The sequence below is a fragment of the Homo sapiens genome, chromosome 17 (assembly GCF_000001405.40).
Source record: "Homo sapiens chromosome 17, GRCh38.p14 Primary Assembly".
Taxonomy (NCBI): Eukaryota; Metazoa; Chordata; class Mammalia; order Primates; family Hominidae; genus Homo; species Homo sapiens.
The window spans coordinates 27506158-27527717 of record NC_000017.11 but is presented as its reverse complement, the minus strand read 5'-3'; the positions used below and the strand labels follow the sequence as shown (position 1 = coordinate 27527717).

The window sequence follows — 21560 nt, the reverse complement described above, 5'->3', positions numbered from 1 at the left end:
TGATTTGTGCCCCAAACAAGAAGTCAGGCCGGGCATGGCTCACGCCTGTAATCCCAGCACTTTGCGAGGCCAAGGTGGGTGGATCACTTGAGGTCAGGAGTTCAAGGCCAGCCTGGCCAACATGGTAAAACCCCATCTCTACTAAAATACAAAAATTAGCCAGGCTTGGTGGCTGGTGCCTGTAGTCCCAGCTACTCGGGAGGCTGAGGCAGGAGAATCGCCAGGAGGCGGAGGTTGCAGTGAGCCAAGATCACGCCATTGCACTCTAGCCTAGGTGACAGAGCAAGACTTTGTCTCAAAAAAGAAAAAAAAGGGGGGGGGGGGGGCGGGTGTGCCACTGCAGTGTCTCCTTTTGTTATCCAGGCTGGAGTGCAGTGGTGCAAACATGGCTCACTGTAGCCTTGACCTCTTGGGCTTAAGCAGTCCTCCTACCTCAACTTCCCAAGTAGCTGGGATTACAGGATAGCTGGCGGCCAGGGGAAATATAGTGGAAAATGCAAAACAATGAAATTATAAAACCTGCCAAATACTTCTCAGAACTAGAAAAGAGTACCCTGCTGATTTTAGTAGAAAAGTACAAATATGTGCTGGAATGTAAGAAAAGTGATGTGTGAACTATTGCCCTTAAGCAATCAATGTACCTGCAGGCGCTGACCCACGAATGCAACTCTCAGCCGAGCTGTCCCTGCCGGATTTCAAACAGCTGAAGAAGGGCTGGGAGAACATCAAGGCTTGGACTAAAACAATTATGGCCCATGAAAGGAGAGAGAAGGTGAAAGGGAGCGTCAGCCCCCTCCTGAGTAACCAAGTCCTAGGGAAGGAGATCACCAGCATGCTGCTGGAGCAGCTCTACTTCCTGCAGAGCACTCCTTCCACCCCTCCCCCCGGAGGAGGAGCCCAAATACCACGCCACGGCCCAAGAATCATTTGCTGTTTCAAATAGAGAACTGTGCGATGATGAGAAAGAGTTCATACGTTTTCCAACACGTGAGAGGACCTCTCAACCTGAACCCTCGTGTTCAGCTGTCAGAATAACAGCCAATAAAAACTACATGAGCAAAATCTCTCAGGAAGGTGCTTTAAAAAAGATGCACGAGGACTGAACATGATCAACAAATGTCCATCTTACAATTGCAACTGATACAAATGAATGAGGTGCATTGTGGCCAAAATCCAGCAGACAGAGCGAGAGTGTGAGATGGCAGAGGAGGAACACAGGATAAAAATGAAGTTCTCAATAAAGAGAAGATGTATTGGGAAAAAAAACTACAAACTTTTACCAAGGAATGGCCTGCTTCCTCATTTAACCGGCCCTTTCCCAATTCACCCTAAGACTTTGGGGGTGGCTCTCTTGTAATTAATTGTGTTGGCAAAGAATGTCTGGAACATGGACTTGCGGTCAGTAACCTGTAACAGAGCGACAACTAGGAAAATTTGAGTGGTAGTAGTCACTAACTTAAGAATTCCTTCAGGGAAACAGCTGCACCCTTTGTACCCCTTAAGTGGCAAAGAAGCTGTTACAGTCTTCTGAAAATTATCACCATGAGTGCTATAATTCTGAATGTAATGTCTCTTAATTAGAATTCATACAAGAACCATGAGAGAGAGAGAGAGAGAGAGAGAAAGAAAGAAAGAAAGAAAGAAAGAGAAAGAAAGAGAGAGAGAGAGAGAGAAAGAAAAGAAAAGAAAAGAAAAGAAAAGAAAAGAAAAGAAAAGAAAAGAAAAGTTAGTTGCAGTTACCGAACAGATCTGGATGCCATAGGGGCAAGGCCCCACCTTCCACGCAAACTGTTCCAAATTGGAAAGGGCTCTTTTCATTCTCCCTATAGCACACCTGTATTTCTCCAGTTTGATGTTTAGGGAGAAGATTTACACAAATGTCTGAAGGGCAAATCTTGCTAGACTACCCGGGGTGTCCTTGGCCCCAACTACCTCATCCTCTTTCAGATGAAGAAGGCACCAGGAACACCAAGGTCAGCTGCCTGAAGATTAAGCAGCTGCAACCTGGAAAAGCTTAAGGTTTAGAGAGAACCTCTGGAAACCTTTGGAACCTTTGGGAAAAAATGCAAACTCAGTGACCAAACTGTAAGGGGTGGAGAGCTGTATCCTCTCCTAAATGCCAGGCTTTGGGAAACTCAAGATAAGCCTTCAGAGGAGACCCAGAAGGCTCAGCTCATTCCAGTACTACATATAATCAGCATTTAATCCTTACCATGGTTCTTAGCCATGTGTCAGGCCCTGTTCCAAGCACATTACATGCGGTAACTCATTTATTCTCTCCAACGAAACTGATGCACAGAGGCAACTTGCCCAAAGCCAGAGCCAGAACCAACCCATGCAGTGCCTTTGTGCAAGGTGAAAGAGTGCATCCCATCCTCTGCACAGACACAGCACAGACCCACAAAAGGCATATTCCTGGCAATAGGGGCAGTCTGGATTTAAGGAACCCTTCACCCCCTTGTGCAGTGCACAACCTGCTTGACTGTACACAGCCCTGTCCAAGTTCACACAGTAAGTAAGAGGCGGAGCTGGAATCTGAACCCAGGCCACCTGGCTCCCAGGTCTGCTACCAAGTAACAAGCAGGCACAGTTTCATATTAAATAAGTGGCCTGCAAATTAATGCAACTCAAAATATACAGAAGGACTGATGCGGGTGACTGAGAGCACAATTCTGTGTGTCTAGAATGATCACATTTTCAGTAATGATGAGACAATGCTCTGACATTTACAACTTCATGGGCATAAGATTTTTTCTTTCTTACCATTTCTAATGGGAATATTTCTAAAATGTGCCCCACCGTTTTCCACCTTACAGCATAATGTAATATAACCCTGCTTGAACTCCACACCACCACTGCCACTCCAGGAACCCAGAGCCCCCTCCCTGCCTTTTCCTGCCGCTCTGCCTGCAGCCTTCTAATCCTGGGTAATCTCTTTTTCTCTGCTCCTATAATTGCTACTGGAGAAAACTCAATGTGCAGGTGGGTTGGGGACATCCAAAGTTTTAGGTTTTGACCTACTTCCTCTGGCTTAGCAGCTCTTTGATTTGATTCTATCTAATTCCTTGCTCTTCCCCAATTCCTGGGGCAGCATCTTACCAGTTTCATGCTCTACAAGCCCCTTTGCAGAGATACTGGAGGCCACCGGCCTGTACTTGCTGGATTTGCCTATCCTCACCTCCCATCAATACCTCCCTCCTTGGGAAGGGGATGGGGAGGGGAGATCTAGCTGTCCTTCAGCCTCCAAACCTGCATTCAAATCTTTCTGGCCTTAATAAATACTTTCTCTTCAGCTCCCCCTTCTCTCTCTCATTCCCTTCAAGTTCAAAGATCTTGACACATTTCCTCAGCTGTTCAATATTACTCCTCCATTGATCTTAGTCTCTCTACTCCACCAAAACTGCTCTTGCAGAAGCCCCCAGAGTCCATGTTCTCACTCCCACCCTCATCCTGCTTGACCTCACTGGGGCATCTGGCCAAGTGGTCTCTCCTCCCAGACATGCCCACCCCTAGCTTCCCAGTTCTCCTACCTTTCTGACAACTCAGCAGCCTCCTTCCCAGGACTCCCACAATCACCTACACGCTTATGCCTCCCAATTTAGAAAACTCTGAACCCCACTCCACTCATAAGCTCCAGCCCCAATCTAACCCCCAAATGGATGGCCAGCCTGCATGGGCCAGAGGTACCCAAACTCACTATCTCATCTTTCATCATCTAGTGGTGGCCTCCCACTTTCCACTCTCCTTTCTTCCTAACAGAATGCTGAGGTTTTAGCTGGCCCGTTTCCATCCTTCCTTGCAGGCAGGTGTAGCTGTGTGACTAATACCTGGCCAATGACACATAAATGGAAGTGCCACATGGTAATTTCAAAAGGAATATATACATGACACATCCTTCTCCAGTTCATTCATCCTGCTCCCTGGAAAGCTGATGTGAAAGCTGGACCTCCAGCAGCCATCTAGGAACATAAGGATAAGGAATGGCAGAAGGGTGAGCTGGAAGGTTCCTGAGTTCCTAATGACTTTGTGGACCCACCACACCGACATTGGGTTACCTACATCCAGACTTCTTTTATGTGTGAGAAAAATTAACTTGCTTGAGTTACTGTTATTTGAACTCTATTTTATCTAATATCCCCTCCAAACTGGTCATGTCTTGCAAGACAAGGAACTTGGTCAATAACATCAACATTCACTATCTGGAAGCCTCCAGCTGTTTATTTGCCAACTTTCCCCATTAGACTGCGAGCAACTTGATGGCAGCAACATGTCTCTCATTTTCTAAATAATTCAAACACACAAAAATGGTATCTTTCCTTTTTTTTTTTTTTTAACCTTACAGAAATGGTATCATTACTACAGATATTCTGCAACCTTTCTACCAACGTTTTTCTTAAATGTAGTCGGGCTGATTCATGTAAGTCAGATGGAACTGGTGAAAAGTACTACACTGTGTAAACCGTCATTTATTGATATATTTCCTGGCTAATAGGCTTTTAGTTTCCTTCTAGTTTTTCATCATCACCAAAAATGTTACAATGTACATCTATTTCTCCTTGAGCACTTGCATGCTAGTTTTTCCAGTACAGACAATAGAAGTAAAATTTTTGGCTATAGGGTATGTGTATCCCTAACTTCACCACATCTAGTCAAGTTCTCTTGAGAGTAGTTGTACCAATTTACACTCCCCAGGGCCCTGTGTGAGAGAGGAGGCCCCTCCCCATGCTGTATTTCTAAACTGCCAATTTCTACCTAACATGATGGTAGCAGGATCCTTTTTTTCTTTCTTAGTACCCTGAACTAGCTACAGCAGAAACACAGGAATCCCCTGAGCTACTCTCCCCAAAATGTTGTCTGGCTGCTGCCTGAGGACAGACCACCCTGCAAAAAGCAACCTAGCTGGGCAGCCAGCATTCAGAGTGGTGCACCCATTGCTTTCTATCTATGGTGTCTCCTCTTGCAAGACAGAGACTTTCCCTCATTGCAAACTTGCTGGGGGGTTGGTGGATTAGTCCTTTGCATTCACCACCCCTCAAATTATTTCATATCCAGCCTACTCACTCAAGCCCTCTCCAATACCAACCAGAAAAGGACAATGTGAAGGTGTTTGTCCCACCACAAAGCCCTCCCACTTTTCCCTGGAGCTCTCAGGCAGGCTGCTGAAAAGAACATCTCATCTCTGCTGGAAAGAAACACCTCATCTCTGGTGGTGGCTCATGAGCATCTCCTGATAAAGGAAAATCCCAGGCAGAGAGAGGGGCCAAGTTGTTTATTTCCAAACACAAGCCAGATTCCAGCTGTGACATGTATACTGGATCTGCTCACTGCAAAGGCGAGCTGGGCGGGAGGGCCACGGGGAGCGGGGGCCAAAGCTGTGTGGAGGATTGCGTGGTTGTTTAGTTTCAAGTAAGCCAGTATTCCTAGGATCAAGTTCATAGCCCCTTCTCAGTCCTGTTTTTCCTGACTCTGCCTGTCTATGGATTTTTCATGTCAACTTGCCCCAAGTGCAAAGGGTAGTTGCCTTGACCCACTTAACCCAGGGGCTCAGAGAGACACTCCACCGGGCTCAAGGCTGGGGTCTGGTATCCACCTTTCCACTCCACAACATTTATTGAAAGCTTGCTCTGGCCAGGTACCAGTGTATAAGAATGGCTGTAACAAAAACCCAGCCATTATCCAGAACTTGACCTCTGAGAACTCATGGCCTAGAAAATAAATACTTGTGATGTCATGTGAAAAGATGCAATGGTAAATATGTGCAAGAGAAAGGAAAGAACAGAGAAAGTAAACCTAACTAAGCCTGGTCTCCCTAGCAGCATGGGTGATAAGCAGACATTTTTATCATCAACATCATAATTCCAACTGCCTGCCTTTCCCATAGCCATGAGAGTGTGGATTAACAGGGCAACAGGTGGTGCTTTGGGAGCTCAGACGTCAGGAGACCTGGTTCTAACCCACCTGCCTCCATCAGAGTAGCCTTTGCAGGCCAGGCGTGGTGGCTCACACCTGCAATCCCCACGCTTTGAGAGCCTAAGGCAGGTGGATCACTTGAGCCTAGGGAGTTTGAGACCAGCCTGGGCAACACAGTGAGACCCTATCTCTACAAAAAAATTCAAAAACTAGCCAGGCGTGGTGGCTCATGTCTGTGATCCTAGCTACTCAAGAGGCTGAGGCAAGAGGCTTGCCTGAGCCCGGGAAGTCAGGGCTCCAGTGAGCTACTGCACTCCAACGTGGGCAATGGAGCTAGACCCTGTGATCCTAGCTACTCAAGAGGCTGAGGCAAGAGGCTTGCCTGAGCCCAGGAAGTCGGGGCTCCAGTGAGCTACTGCACTCCAACCTGGGCAATGGAGCTAGACCCTGTTTCAAAAAAAAAAAAAAAAAAAGGAATGGCCTTTGTCAACTCACTGTCCTCATGGGTAAACTGAAGGGTGGAACAAGCAACTCCTGAGCAGTCCTTTCAGCTTGGGTATCCTAACCAGGGGCTTTCCACCCTCCCTGTGTATCAGAATCACTTGGAGCGGGTATACATATAGAGATGCCTGGGCCAGTTCCCACCCCAGAGGTACTAAGTCAGCTGGCCCAGGGCTGTGCTCCTGATATGGATGTGTTTTAAAAGCACCCATGATTCAAACATGAGGACAGGGTTCAGAACCACGGTGCTGAACAAACTTCCTGCTGGTGACAGCCACAAGTGCTTGAGGACCGGGCCCCATTCCACAGACTGCCCAAGGCAGGAAGCGAACCCAAGGCCAAACAGCCCATAGTGCCTGCTGTCTGCTCACAGGGATACAATGATTTCAGGAAGATTCCAGTTAGGCCAACTGGCAAACAGGGAATCACACGTCTCCCGCATCCTCCAGCTACCTGCTTTCAGCCCCTTTTGGCCACTGGGACAAATGGGTAAGGGGGAAGGCAGCACCCCTCCAATCCACTGGCAGGGGGCCGCCCCACCCTCGGGAAAAGGAGGCCAGTGAGAGTTGGAGGCAGCGGGGCCTGGGAAACCTGGGCGGGCACAGCCTGGCCTCCCTGCCTGTGAGCCAGCCCCTGAGAGGCCTCGTCCGGACAAAGGGGCAGAAGAACAAAGCTCCACTGTGCCCGTTCTGCACGGAAAAGCCAGCAGAGACAAGGAGACTTCAGGGCTGGTGGCACGATTAGCATTTTATTTATTTATTTAATTTTCGTTTTATCTAACAAATGCCTTGGGGACACAACACTTATTATGCGCACCAAGCAGAGTTTCTGAGCCCTTTCTAAAGATTAAGCTTTAGAAGATTAAGCTTTCCAGAGTTAAAGTCCAGGGAGGGGAAAAAATTAATTCTCCCCCTCCACAGGCACATAAATTTACCTTTGCATTTGCTACTGTCTGGCCTATAACATACAGAAACCACTTGGATCTAGGAATGTGTCCCAAGGTGTGACTTAAATCCCTTCGGTGCCCTTTATAGAAGGCCATCTTCTGCAGGAATGGAAATTTTCTCATGGCAAGGTGGAAAGAATTTGGAAGTTAAACTCCATTTGCTACATGAACTTGGACAAGTTTCAGAAACTCTCCGAAACTCATTTTGGTGTCTGTCAAATGGGAACAGTGTAGCCTATTTCAGAGGTGTTATGGAGTGAAATGAAATAATTCATTCGGTATAAAGGGTGCAACAAAGGGCCTGACATCAGCTACAGGTTTATTCCCTTCTCCCATCTGCAAAGCACCACCTCTGCCATTTACAGAGACTCTGCTGCACTGAGTACCCATGGTCTAACAGCAGCCCTGCCAGGTTCAGTATTACTATCCCCACTCCCGGCTGGGGAAACAGTTTTACTATCCCCACTCCCAGCTGGGCTGGATGAAGAGCTCCTCCCAAAGCTCACAGCTCTCAGGTGGTGGGGCCCACATTCAAAGCCTGTGCCATGGACCAGGGACTTTCCTTTGGTCTTAGACTCTAGGTCCCTCACCACAACCCGTCCCAATTTAGAGCCTAAATAATCATACAGCTCAGTAGAGCTCCTTGCTTTTTGTTTGGTTTTAACAGTGTCAGAAATCCCCCACAAATCTGGCAGCTCTAAACACTCACATTGCAGGCCCCACAAGCAAGCACCCAAGGCTGGGCTGTGCAGAGAACGGGGACAGCTGGGGTCCCGGGACTGACAGAGTGGCACTGACTGACCATCACCACTCAGGCTGCCCATTCTTGGCATCAAACGCACCATGGCCAGGTCAGAGAAGAAACTATGCCGACATGATAGAATCACTAAATGCCGGGGGTTGAAGGGGACTCCTTTCCTCAGCTGTAACACGGGTGTGGGGAGGAGTATTGCTGAACTAAACAATCCTGGAGGGATTTCCTGTCCTCCCACCCCTGGGAGCCCTAAGGGAGCAGTTGATTCAACCTCCATGTGGCCCCACACTTGAGCCACAGGGCAGGCCCTGACCTGCAACTGGAGAGTGGGTGCCCAAGACAATTTTAACAAAACAAAACCTCATTTCTGAGGCCTCAGAATTCCTTTCTGCAGGGAACCACACCCAGGGCTTCCAGGCGCTGACCACCACAAGCCATTATTTAGGGCAGCCTCTGTTCAGGTATTACTCCTCCCACTGTCACCATTACCCACCAGCGGCCTTACAAGGCCCAGAAGTGAGTTCTGCAGCCCAGGGCATGGTGAGAGGAACCAGGGCTTCAGGATCAAGCAAGCCTGCAGCAAGCGCAGCCCTGCCACTCTTCTAGGCAATGTGACCCTAGACACATCACCCAACACCTGAGCGGTCACTTCCTCACAGCTACTGTGCTATGCAGGGCTAATGATGCACACATCCTACTCCAGGAACCAGCCAGTGCAGGCCACAACAAATGCCAGTTCCCTGGAGGGCTCTTTCCCTGTCTTTTTCCCACCACGGCACAATGGAGGGATATGGAACATTTCCAGCACTATGAAGGCTATGCCTTTGGTGGAGAGGGAGGAGGGTCTAGGGAGTGTCCACCATTTATCCTCTCCTTTGAGCATCGCAGCCTTAAGCTTTCCCGACTCCTGCCAACACAGTGCTTGCTCCTACGTCCACTTTCCCACAGAACTTGTCAGCACAGAACATCAATTATCAACATAGATGTCCACCGACCCAGATTGCAAGAGCCTGGCAAGGTCAGGCTCTGAGCTCCCCGACACAGTGCCTTGTAGAGAGGGGGCACTCAGATGATGAATGGGCACTGGGTGGGCAGGCAGACAGCAAACACCAGAGTTAACAGAAACCAATTCTATGCTTTTCAGGGGGTGAGCTACACTTTCCAAAAGAAAGGACGGAAAGAAAACTATAGGATGCTTTCGAAATACATACCTTCTGCCTTTTTCTTTAAGAATATTAAGGTTCGCCAAATTTCACAAGTGCAGCTACTCCACCCAGTATTAAGTGGATTGAGAAATGAAAAGGTGTAGCTATTGCTTCTTTACTGCTAAGCTAATCCATCCAAGCTGTTTCACACCTCTGGGGCCTTGTTTACAGGCTCTCTCCACCTAGAATGCCCTGCTCCCTACAAAGCCTTTGCCAGCTCCCCCCTTGCCAACTCCCTCCTTCAGACTCCTTTTGGGGACAGGATAGATTTCAATGAGAGCATCTCTAACAGCCTACTGCATGAATTGGTTTTTTAAGTCTTCACTCACTGAGACAGATGCTGTCTGAAACTAGAAGGTCCTCTTATTTATTTCTGTATCAAGAGCATCTGGCCTCATGTGGTGGCATACAGCAGGTCCTCAATAATGACCAAATGAATAAATAGCTTGAATCGTGTTACTGCTTTAGCTTACAATCATTCTTCCTCCATTCTTGCCTATATCTGAAATCATCCCAAGTCCCCAAATCTTCCACTTACAATCCAAGCTTACAACCCCCACAATTACATAACATAGGGACCCAACTGCAATGCACTCCATCCCTCAGTTAGAAAAAAGCAAGTCTTACAATACAGAAGTGGGCCAAGGGTGGATTCTCTGAGCTCACCCAGGAAAACCAATCTACCTTCAATCCTCAGTGGTCTCTTCCAACTCCAGGTTGAAATCCATTTGATGAAATGCTACACAGGAGCGGTACTCAATAACACTCATAGTTTATCGTCCAATGAAAATGAAAGAATTATTATCAGCTAGGTGCAGTGGCCGAAGCCTGTAATCCCATCATTTTGGGAGGCCAAGGTGGGCGGATTGCTTGAGCTCAGAATCAGGAGTTCGAGACCAGCCTGGGCAACATGGCAAAACCCCATCTCTACTAAAAGTATAAAATTAGCCAGGCATGGTGGTGTGCACTTGAGCCCAGGGGGTGGATGTTGCAGTGAGCCGAGATCACGCCACTGCACTCCAGCCTGGGCCATAGAGTGAGTGAGACTCTGGCTCAAAAAAAAATAAAAATAAAATAAAAAGAAAAAGAGTTATTAAAGACCTGGAATCAATAGAAACAAGTGTCTGGGTTAAGATAAGGGGTTGTGGAGCACAAGGTTCTTATTATGTAGATGAAGTCTCATAGGTAGCCACCCTTAAAGGCAATAGACGACAAATGTTTCCCATTCAGACCTTTAAAAGGTGCTAGGATCTCAGTTAATCTTTTCAGGATCAGAAAATTACCTAGAAAGGGAAGGGGATTCTCTACAGAATGTAAATTTCTCCCACAAGAGACAGCTTTGCAGGGCCATTTCAAAATATATCAAAGAAATCTATTTTAGGATAAAATACTTTTGTTTTTGTTTCTTTCTTTCAGGGCCTGCTATCTGTCATGTGATGTTAAGATGTTATACTAGAGTCAGGTTGGAATTTGGTATCTCATTGCCACAAAGGGTCTCTTTTGTATTAAGATCTCTGTTTTAATGTTTAGACTAGTCATTATGTCTCACGAAAATGTATAAAACCAAGCTGTAACCCAACCACCTTGGGCACATGTTCTCAGGACCTCCTGAAGCTGTCATGGGTCATGGTCTTCACATTTGGCTCAGAATGTATCTCTTTAAATATTAAAAAAGAAAGAAAATAAAAAATGAAAGCAGGCTATAGAGCAAAAAGTACAGGATGATCTCAGCTTCGAAAAGTTCTCTCTATATATACATTTTTAAGAGTGTTTCAATTTTCTTTCATGCTTTTCAAAGTTTCTACAAGGAACATATATTACTCTTGTAATCAGATATGAAAATGATGGAAGGAAGAAAGGATGAAAGGGGGAGGAGGAGGAGGGGGAGGGAGACTCTACTCTGCACTATCACAGAAAGGGAGCGAGGACAAAGGCACATGAAGACGTCTGTTCCAACAATGGATTGATCTCTCTCATCAGGTAAATATGGCTCACATTGGCCTCTGTCCAAACACCCTCCCAGGGTGGCCCAATCCCACATCAGTGTTAATCTGTGATTAACACACCCCATCTGTGATAATGATGATAATATTAATGATAATAGCTTTTTTGAGCATTTACTACATGCTAGGCACTATTCCATTTAACTCATCCTCATTTCTTACAATGACCATAAGGCAATCATTACGATTGCTCTTTCACAGATGAGAAAACAGACAGAGATCAGGTAACTAGCCCAACGTCACACAACTACCTTTTCTCGATTTTCTCCTTTGGCAACTTCCTGGATGTGATAGGTCTCTTAGTTAGATAAAACCAGGTTTTCTAGAGGTTGTGCTTATAAAATGGGGGCTGCATTCACAAAGACAGATGAGGTAAGGAGGAAGCTATGTTGAATGGTGATGAGAAAATTAGCATTAAGTCAGCCATGGAGAGCCAATTGTTAAATAGTGCCTTGACTGGAGAAGATTTCAAACTCCTTCCCTTAACAAAAAAAAAGGCAAATTCTTTTATCTGATAGGCCAGAAGAGATCAGAGCTGATAAAACAGACTAAGCCTGCTCATGAAAGCCCTACCTAACCTAGAGGAGAGTCTATGGTTTCCCCCAGAGCCTCCTTCCTCAATCCACATTTCTACCATGTTGGGTTCTCTGGTTTCTCCCATCCATAGATTATAGTAAAGCAGAACATTTTTAAGGTGAAAAGAACCAGGTTTCTAGAGGTAAATGCACAGAGGCCACAAGACCTGGCAGCAATAATGGAATAAATGAAAAAAAAAAAAAAAAAAAAACTACGAAGCAGACCCAAGATTTAAAAAGCATAATTTTCTGGGACCATTATATGAGAGGCAAAGTGGCCGTTCAAACCACACCTCAGTAGAGCCTACTGAGACTCCCAGCCACACCGAAAAAGTCATTAAGTTGTTTAGAAGAAAATGTGTCTTCTCAAACTACAGTCATGCGGCGTGTAACGACAGAAATACGTTCTGAGAAACATGTCCTTAGGTGATTTTGGCTTTGTGTGAACATCAGAGTAATGAGTATGGTAGGCAACTGTAATACATTTGTAAGACAAATCTAAACATATCAGAACACAGAAAAGGTACAGCAAAAATACAGTACTATAATCTTATGGGATTACTGTCATACACGTGGTCTGTTGTTGACAATGCGGCACATGACTGCAATTAAAATGATTAAAATACATTTTAGTGCTTACAAGAATGTTTCAGTTACTGAATATAAATTCGCTTTCTATGAAACAGCTTGTTTCCTATCTATTTTATCCAGTGAATCATGGCACCTGCTGTTAGCTGCCTCCCCATGTCCATCCTCCTTTTCCTTCCTTAACCTCGGGAATCCCTGATTTTGTTCAAATAACAATGTGCTTAGCTCCCAGCCACCCTGACAACCAGTGGTTGCCATGTGATCCAGTTCTAACCAGTGAAATGTAAGGGAAAGCCTATTGCTTGGTACTTCCAGAAAGTTAGTTTTCCTCATTAAAATGGATAAGAGGCAGTTGACAAAAGCCACCTTCCTACCTGAAATGCAAATGTGAAACCTGGAGATATAGCAGCCATCTTGGGAGTATGAGGCTTTGTGCTGAAGATGATAAAGCAAAAAGACAGGAGGCAGCAACGTGGAGCCGTAAGACTGTCAGCCTCTGGGCTTTTTGTTTCATAAGAAAAATAATCCCTTACTTCCAGTGTTACTTTTCTTTTCTTTTCTTTTTTTTTTTTTTTGAGATGGAGTTTTGCTCCTGTCGCCCAGGTTGGAGTGCAATGGCACAATCTCACCTCACTGCAACCTCTGCCTCCTGAGTTCAAGGGATTCTCCTGCCTCAGCTTCCTGAGTAGCTGGGATTACAGGCGTACGCCACCACACCCAGCTAGTTTTTTGTATTTTTAATAGAGACGGGGTTTCACCATGTTGGCCAGGCTGGTCTTGAACTCCTGACTTCAGGTGATCCACCTATCTCAGCCCCTCAAAGTGCTGGGATTACAGGCGTGAGCTACTGTCCCCAGCCTTACTTAATTTTCTGAAATATATAGCCAAGCAAACCCTAACTGGCACCTTAATATCAGGTTATAATTCCCCGGTGATAAATATGACTCCTAATATCTTACTGTTTTCCTCCAAGTAGCCTGCAAAGTATTTTCATGTCTTTGGGGTGCCCCAATAAAACACAGGCTGACCGAGTGTTATTTACTGGGAGCTTGCCTAGCTGTTGCAAGTGGCAAATGGCCATTCATTGGTATTGTGTTTTTGCTAAGCTGACTTGCTTTTGAGACTTGGAATTTTGTTAGGAAACAAAAAGTGCTTTATGGCAAAGGCGTTAGCGCCACAATGGGACCTTTCTGCTTTGATTATGAAAACACATTAAGAGCTTAGCTGCACCGCAAGCAGTGGCCTGGAGACTCGGCTGAAGCCTCAGCCTTTCCGACGATTCTCCACTCAATATGCTGGAAGGGCACCAAACCCACTTGGGAGGAAACACTGCAGGCAGACACCAAAGATTAAAGGGGTTGAGCGTTCAGGTCCACTCTGGAGGACCTGTGTGATGAGCAGGCTGTGCCCCAACACAGCCCTACACCCTTCTTCACCAGCCCCCGACACTGGCTACATGCAACTCCCGTATTCTGCCTTGCAGGGGTTAAACATAAGCATCAAGCAAGCTTTACTGCTGTAATTCCTCACAACACCTGGAAAACGATGCGTCCCCAAGAGAAGCTCAGAGACAACCCAAGGGGTATAGACATAGGACAGTAAGCAAAGCTTCCCTGGGGTCCCAGCAGACACACCCTTGCTAAGGTGAGCCACTCTCCCCATCGGCTTACAAGGTTAATATGAAGATGGGATGAGATGCAGTGATGCTACCTCCAGGTACACCCAACACAAGTGTGTGCATGCACATACACAATACAGGCTAACCAAGAGTCATGTCCAACAATGCTCACAGCAGCATTTTTTTTTTTATAGAGAAGGAGTCTTGCTATGTTGCCCAGGCTGGTCTTGAACTCCTGGGCTCAGGTGATCCTCCTGCCTCAGACTCCCAAAGTGTCAGAATTACAGACATGAGCCACCGCATCTAGCCCGCAGCATTTTTTAGGAATATCCTCAAAATGTAAACAAACAAAATGTTCAACAGGAGAATGGATAGAAAAATTGTGCTAATCAGTCAATCGAATAACACACAGCAATGAAAATGAACAAATGACAGCTACATGCAACGAAAATGCACAGATTTCACAACAATGTTGCATGAAAGAAACCAGACACTAAAGAATATATACAGCATGATTATCCTTGTAGGAAGTTCAAAAAACAGGCACAACTAAATTTACAGTGTTTGGGGATTCATATTTTGGGTAAATAATTATTTTAAGAAGCAGGGAGGCAACTACTACTAAAGTCAAGCTAATGTTGTGCGTGGCAGTAAGAGAAGAGGTCATGATCAGGGAGCCTCCGGGGGCGCTGGCAGGGTTCCTTCTCTTGGACGGTGGTTACAAGGGTACTCACTTTGTGATAATTCACCAAGCTGTACATTTATGTTTTGTGTACTTTTCTGAGTCTGTATAATATTTTACAATATAAACAAAGTAAAAATGAAAAGGAATGATGTCTAGATCCAAACAAACCCAGCCTACCGTAGGTTCTCAATACATCTTTTTGTTTGTTTGGAGACGGAGTCTTGGTCTGTTGCCCAAGCTGGAGTGCAGTGGCGTGATCTCAGCTCACTGCAACCTCCGCCTCCCAGGTTCAAGCAATTCTCTTGCTTCAGCCTCCCGAGTAGCTGGCATTACAAGCATACGCCACCACATCCAGCTAATTTTTGTTTTTAGTAGAGACGGGGTTTCACTATGTTGGCCAGGCTGGTCTCAAACTCCTGTGACCTCAGGTAATCCACCTGCCTCGGCCTCCCAAAGTGCTGGGATTACAGGCGTAAGCCACTGCACCTGGCCATTCTCAATACATCTTGATTGAACCTGAATCCTATGCCACTTTATCACCCCTCCAGGATGCCTGGAATCCTCCTCTTCAGAGAAGAAATGCTCACATTTATGTTCCACTGGAAACTGGCAAGGGTACAGCAATTCATCCTTCCCTGGATGCTTCGAGTATATTCATCTCTATTTTCCAAGCCAAAATCATAAGCTCCTCTGAAGGAGGAAATGGCTTGGGATATACACATTTTCTCCACAGATTAGTGATGGAAACCTAACCTAGCTCAGAAAGCAACAAAGAAGTCACTACAGGGAGAAAGAGCAGGGAATTTTGCTGGGGTCATCAAAACAAAGGCTAGAGACACACCAGGACCTTGATGAGGGGATAAGGGGTTCAGGATCTGGTCTACTCCAGCCCTGAAGAGTCGGCTCAAGCTAACTTAACATACACATGACTACTATCAATTGCACAAAGCCACTTGGGCTCTGCTATCCTAGAAAGTCCACATCAATCAGAGTATTCTCCCTGATGAGCAAGCTTACACTTCAGCAGATGTTTGTCGGGTGTGCTTATCCTAACACCAAAAACTAGTTTTAAGAATTGCCACGTGTGGCAGGAAGCAAACAAACCTGGATGCTTGCAGCTCATCACACCAACGGTCTCGCCGGTGAGACGGGATGCAGAGGAGTCTGACCCTGAGAGCCCCCTCACCTAGGCAACCCTGCTTGGGCACTGAAAAGGTTTGCCTCAGGAACCTCCATTTCCTAAGCTGACCAAGCTGCCTCTAAATCACACATTCTCCCTATGCAGATACCTCAGCCATGGAGCCACAGCCCAGCCCTGCCAGCCCAGAAGCATCCCACTCCCACCTCGCCCCAGGTCCTGCAGGAAACTTGGCCCAACGCTCCACAGGCCCCTCCTGAGTGGGGTCTAACTGCTCCAGAGAGCAGGCTGTTTTCTTGTCTTTCTCAGTTCCAGATTCCAAGTGACCAACAATGCTCCCCCTCCCTACCTTCTGGCACTGTTCAGTTTCTTCCCAGCCAAGTACAGACAGCCCTCAATGCGCAGCAGCACCCACCCTCCACACTCTCCCAGCCTTCTACCTCTCCACACTGGTGAGCAAGTGCACCTCCAGAGCACTCAGACTGGAAGAAAGGTAAGAGGCTTCTGGCTCTGAGATGTCATGACAGTCCAGTCAGCTGCCTGCCAGTGTTCCAGCCCCAGCCAGGCGTCCCCACGTTTCTTGGCCTACCTCTTCACAGCCAAACATTCTGCAGGAGCAAGATGCACTAGAATCTCTAGCCAGGAAACTCCTCACCCTTCTCACTTTTTTCCTAAGAAAGAAGTAAACAGCAGAGGAAGTGGACAGAAAAGGTGTTTTTAGAGCTTCTAGACTGTTTTTCCAAGAGCTGTGTGCAGTGTGCACAGGCAGGCTCATCCCCACCTTCTGAGACTCTGTCTTCTCAGATGGGGATAATAGCTTTCTCCCTGCTCTCAAGACAGTTGTGAGAATCAAGGAATGGGGAACATGCTACATGGCTCCTGGGTGGTACGGCGCTCCATACCAAGATAACTCTGGCTCAGAAGGGTGCCTGGCAGGCAATGCGGGATGCTCAGAGGAGGATCAAAGTGCATTTGCTGCAGAGAATTGAGCCAGGAAATGGTTATCTGTACACTTTTAAAAGACATTAGATAAGCATTCTTGGTAGGCTTCTGCCAAGCACATCATACCCCCAACCCATGCATTTGGAAAAATGAACCAGCAAGAGAGCATCTGCTCTGAACGGACGGCAGTGCAGCCTCACTCAAATCCTCTCAAATGCCCTATTTCACAGACGATGGCACTGAGGCTTGGGGAGGTTAAGTTACCTAAATTACCTTAAGCTAAGGCCACTCAGCTCTTCGGTGTTAGGACTTAGATTTCTCTCTAGCTCCCACACTCTTTCCAATTTCATCGTGTCTAAAAACCATCCATTAAACTACACAAAATGACCACTCATGCTGGTACCTCATGCTTTATTGGCAACCAAGCCTTTTTACGTCTACTCACTCGGTCCTTATAACTCTTCAGTGAATAAGTTTTATCACCACCAACACTCCCTTTTAGAGATGAGGGAAACTGAGGCTCATTGAGGTGAAGTGACGTGCCAGAGGTCACTGGGATAACCACGGTCAGGAAGAGCCCTGGTGGGGCAGCACCGCCACCTTCCCAGTCTAATCAGGGATGGTTTTTCCAGAGTCTTGGTTCTGCCACAACTCACGGCCCTCAGAAGAAAGGATCAGAAGTCCATGGAAAAAGGGAAAACCAGAAAGGTTCTCTCCGGACAAGGTGCAGCAAGCTTTGAGGCAGGGCCCAGGTGAACTTGTGTGAAGAGAGAGATTCCCCAGTTCCCAAGTGCCAAGAGGAGGGACAAGGTGAAGTGCTGGCACTTAGGGTACTACCCTCCTCAGGCCCCCAAAACTAGGATTATATGATGAACTCCACTACCTCTGAGCCAAGTCTGCCCACCTCTAGGTAAGGAGATTAAAGCCAAGGCTGGGTATTGCCCCTGCTCGCCCAACGTGGCCTCTCACACACAATGAAGGGCTCTGGCTTTTATTTTATTTATTTATTTTTTGAGACAGGGTCTTGTTCTGTTGCCCAGGCTGGAGTGCAATGGCACAAACACAACTCACTGCAGCCTCAAGTTCCTGGGCTCAGGCAATCCTCCAACCTCAGCCTCCTAAGTAGCTGGGACTATAAGCATGCACAACCACATCCAGCTATTTTGTTTTTTGTTGTTGTTTGTTTGTTTTAAACTAGAGACAAACTCTCCCTGTGTAGCCCAGGCTGGCCTCAAACTCCTGGGTTCAAAAGATCCTCCTGAGTCGCCAGGCGTGGTGGCTCACGCCTGTAATCCTAGCACTTTGGGAGGCCGAGGTGGGCAGATCACGAGGTCAGGAGATCAAGACCATCCTGACTAACATGGTGAAACCCCGTCTCTCCTAAAAATACAAAAAATAGCCGGGCGTGGTGGCAGGTGCCTGTAGTCCCAGCTACCCGGGAGGCTGAGGCAGGAGAATGGCGTGAACCCGGGAGGCAGAGCTTGCAGTGAGCCAAGATCGCACCACTGCACCCCAGCCTGGGCAACAAAGCGAAACTCTGTCTCAAAAAAACAAAAAAAAAAGATCCTCCTGACTCAGCCTCCCAAAGTGCTAGGATTACAGGCATGAGCCACTGCACCCAGACTGCTCTGGCTTCTTTAATATTTATTTGGTATTTAAAAGCCACTTGGCCTAGGAAGCAGGGTTGCAGAAAAATGCCTGGAATGTAGGAAACTGTTCTTTCCTTGCTCACTCTGCAGAGGATCCACTGGAGCATCAGGCCTGGCTGCCCAAACCCTCTGCACCTGGCTTCTCTGCTGGGTCTGTTCAAACTTCAGGCCCAGGCTGGGAACGGTGGCTCATGCCTGTAATCCCAGCACTTTGGGAGGTCAAGGTGGGTGGATCACCTGAGGTCAAGAGTTTGAAACCAGCCTGGCCAACATGGTGAAACCCTATCTCTACTAAAAATACAAAAAGTTAGCCAGGCATGGTGGCAGGCATCTGTAATCCCAGCTACTTGGGTGGCTGAGGCAGGAGAATCACTTGAACCCGGGAGGTGGAGGTTACAATGAGCCGAGATCACGCCATTGCACTCCAGCCTGGGCAACAGAGCAAGACTCTACCTCAATAAATAAATAAATAAATAAATAAATAAATAAATAAAAAAAATTCAGGCCCAAACCTAGGAAAGAGGGCCCAGTGAAGACAGGCTGAATCTCAAGCCTGTGTTTGTCCCTGCCCTTCCTGCACCTCCTGTGAGCAAGTGTCCAGTCCCCTTTGTTTTCATCAGGAAACTGAGGGTTGGAGAGAAGAGGCAATAAGCCCAGAGAGGAGTGATGTGGGGCAAAGAGCATGATCTTGAGTCAGAGAGGGGCTTCACTACAAGCTCCTGCCACTTACAAATAGCAGGACTCCAGGCTAGTATGTTACAACTTAGGCCCTTGATGATCCTCATCTGCAAAATGGACATCACAGCACCTTCCAGGTCAGTGGGAGGATTCAGAGGGATGATAAAAGTTCCCAGCATAGGGCTTGGCAGGCCATAGGCACCCAGTCAATGATAACCATTATTCTAACTGCTCAGAGCCAGGATTCCACACAGGGCTCATGGCTTCCTCTGTCCAGTTAGACACATTCAAACCCATGTCCACGCCTCCAAAGTCCACCCTAACAAGCCACTCCACCCCAACAGAAGCTCCCTCAGTAACCTAACTTGCTGACCCAAGACCCCAGAGTAATGTATTAGCAGGGTGGCTGCCACAGTGAACACTGCCCAGGGCACTTGCTCCTTTGTAATCAAGGTGGCAGGTTGGGGAGCAGGAGACTGGGGGCACGTGGGAGATTAGGGAGGTACCCAGATGGGTTTCATTTCTCCCCTCTGAAGCCAAGATAGCCCCTTCTAGGGCAGGACAGCAGCTGCCAGGCTACACGCTCTAGAATAAGACTATCCAAGAGATGTACTTGGTATGTTCTAGTAGCCATATTAAAAGCCAAACAAAGGCCAGGCACAGTAGCTCACACCTGTAATCCCAGCACTTTGGGACGCTGACGCAGGTGGATCACCTGAGGTTGGGAGTTCGAGATCAGCCTGACCAACATGGAGAAACCCTTTCTCTACTAAAAATACAAATTAGCCAGGCGTGGTGGCTCATGCCTGTAATCCCAGCTACTGGGGAGGCTAAGGCAGAAGAATCACTTGAACCCGGGAGGTGGAGGTTACGGTGAGCCAAGATCGCACCATTGCACTCTAGCCTGGGCAACAGGAGTGAAATTCTGTCTCAAAAAAAAAAAAAAAAAAAAAAAAAAAAAAGCCAAACAATAAAGATTTTAATGATCTATTTTATTTAATCAAACATACCCAAAATATCACTTCAACACATAATCACACAAAACATACAAAAATAAATATAAAACATTAAAAATATATATATTTTTTCCTTCGAGACAAAGTCTTGCTCTGACACCCAGGCTAGAGTGCAGTGGCATGATCTTGGCTCACTGCAACCTCCACCTCCCGGGTTCAAGCAATTCTTCTGCCTCAGCCTCCCCAGTAGCTGGGATTACAGGCCCCTGCCACCAGGCCTGGCTAATTTTTGTATTTTTAGTAGAGACGGGGTTTCACCATGTTGGCCAGGCTGGTCTTGAATTCCTGACCTCGTAATCTGCCTGCCTCGGCCTCCCAAAGTGCTGGAATTATAGGCATGAGCCACCTTGCCCAGCCTAAAGAGATCTTTTACATTCTTTTGTTCATATTGTCTTCTGAATCCACCAAGCATTTTTACACTGCACACCCCGACTAGGACTAGCCACAGCCTCAGTGCTGAGAAGCCACATGTGGCTGATGGCTACCGCATTGGAAAAAGCAGAATGAACATTTCAATTATTGCAGAAAGTTCTAGACAGTGCAGCTGACCTTTTTCATCAGATCCCGAGATTTGAGGGGTGGGAGGCTGGCATGTGTGCGGCTCTTCTCTCTGAATTACCAGAGGGACCAACTTCTCTGACAGCTGGGGGCTGACAGGAAATACCTGTTTGTCAGGCTATGAAAAAGCTTTCCCCTCGGTCTTCCTCAGGCTTGGGCAGGGCTGGGGGTTTCCATGACTCATGACACCTGCGGAGCCCAAAGCATCCCCTAGGGAGCTGAACCAACACTCGCACCACAGAAAAATGCAGCTTGGGGGTGGGAGGAGGGGGTGGGAGGGGGAGATGGGAGATAAAGGCTGGACAAATCCCCAAGAACACCAAGTTACCAACTGCAAAGGGAAGACTCCAGGGGACTCCCAGCTGCCGGCCCGCAAGTCTGCTCTCTCCAGAGATGACCAAGAAGGGGAGGTGGAAATCACCGAAATGTGCAACCCCAGACACAGGTTGGACAAATCCAACTACATCCACATAATCGAGTATCAGGCAGTGCTTAAAAACTCTACAGTGAACATCTACAACTAATAATAAAAACTACGCTTTGTTAAACAACCACATCGAGCTAGAATGTTTACCTAAACTACCTCTTGTAATTATTGCAGTGGAGTCATGAGTTAGGGTAGTATTATTCCCATGCTACGAGAGAAAGTGAGGGTGAGGTTCCTCAAACTAAAATTCACTTAAGCAAGATGGTCCAGCCAGCAAGGGGCCAAGGCCACACTGAGCCAAAGCCCCTCAGACTCCAAAACCCAAAACCGACCTTATTACTACACTATTGCCTTCCCGTGGTGTTTT

At 47.0% G+C, this 21560-nt stretch overlaps 1 protein-coding gene and 1 pseudogene across 17 annotated transcripts in view, besides 8 other annotated features; one reads left to right on the top strand and one right to left on the bottom strand.

Moving 5' to 3' along the window:
- KSR1 (kinase suppressor of ras 1) overlaps positions 1-21560 on the bottom strand; it is a 169988-nt gene that overhangs the window by 98718 nt on the left and 49710 nt on the right. The window lies entirely within an intron of this gene.
- Positions 451-1606, top strand: MSANTD3P1 (MSANTD3 pseudogene 1; annotated as a pseudogene).
- Positions 7570-8206: an enhancer, noted in NCBI's record as "H3K27ac-H3K4me1 hESC enhancer chr17:25846538-25847174 (GRCh37/hg19 assembly coordinates)". NCBI's record gives its function as "activates a minimal SCP1, AML or CMV promoter by ChIP-STARR-seq in naive H9 embryonic stem cells {active_cell/tissue: H9 hESC(naive)}" and the evidence as "EXISTENCE:reporter gene assay evidence [ECO:0000049][PMID:30033119]".
- Positions 7570-8335: a biological region, named in NCBI's record as "H3K27ac-H3K4me1 hESC enhancer GRCh37_chr17:25846538-25847174".
- Positions 8186-8335: an enhancer, noted in NCBI's record as "active region_11907". NCBI's record gives its function as "activates an Ori minimal core promoter by ATAC-STARR-seq in GM12878 lymphoblastoid cells {active_cell/tissue: GM12878}" and the evidence as "EXISTENCE:reporter gene assay evidence [ECO:0000049][PMID:35858748]".
- Positions 12645-13487: an enhancer, noted in NCBI's record as "OCT4-NANOG-H3K27ac-H3K4me1 hESC enhancer chr17:25841257-25842099 (GRCh37/hg19 assembly coordinates)". NCBI's record gives its function as "activates a minimal SCP1, AML or CMV promoter by ChIP-STARR-seq in naive H9 embryonic stem cells {active_cell/tissue: H9 hESC(naive)}" and the evidence as "EXISTENCE:reporter gene assay evidence [ECO:0000049][PMID:30033119]".
- Positions 13488-14332: an enhancer, noted in NCBI's record as "OCT4-NANOG-H3K27ac-H3K4me1 hESC enhancer chr17:25840412-25841256 (GRCh37/hg19 assembly coordinates)". NCBI's record gives its function as "activates a minimal SCP1, AML or CMV promoter by ChIP-STARR-seq in naive H9 embryonic stem cells {active_cell/tissue: H9 hESC(naive)}" and the evidence as "EXISTENCE:reporter gene assay evidence [ECO:0000049][PMID:30033119]".
- Positions 15619-16147: an enhancer, noted in NCBI's record as "H3K27ac-H3K4me1 hESC enhancer chr17:25838597-25839125 (GRCh37/hg19 assembly coordinates)". NCBI's record gives its function as "activates a minimal SCP1, AML or CMV promoter by ChIP-STARR-seq in naive H9 embryonic stem cells {active_cell/tissue: H9 hESC(naive)}" and the evidence as "EXISTENCE:reporter gene assay evidence [ECO:0000049][PMID:30033119]".
- Positions 20749-21346: an enhancer, noted in NCBI's record as "H3K27ac-H3K4me1 hESC enhancer chr17:25833398-25833995 (GRCh37/hg19 assembly coordinates)". NCBI's record gives its function as "activates a minimal SCP1, AML or CMV promoter by ChIP-STARR-seq in naive H9 embryonic stem cells {active_cell/tissue: H9 hESC(naive)}" and the evidence as "EXISTENCE:reporter gene assay evidence [ECO:0000049][PMID:30033119]".
- Positions 20836-21045: an enhancer, noted in NCBI's record as "active region_11906". NCBI's record gives its function as "activates an Ori minimal core promoter by ATAC-STARR-seq in GM12878 lymphoblastoid cells {active_cell/tissue: GM12878}" and the evidence as "EXISTENCE:reporter gene assay evidence [ECO:0000049][PMID:35858748]".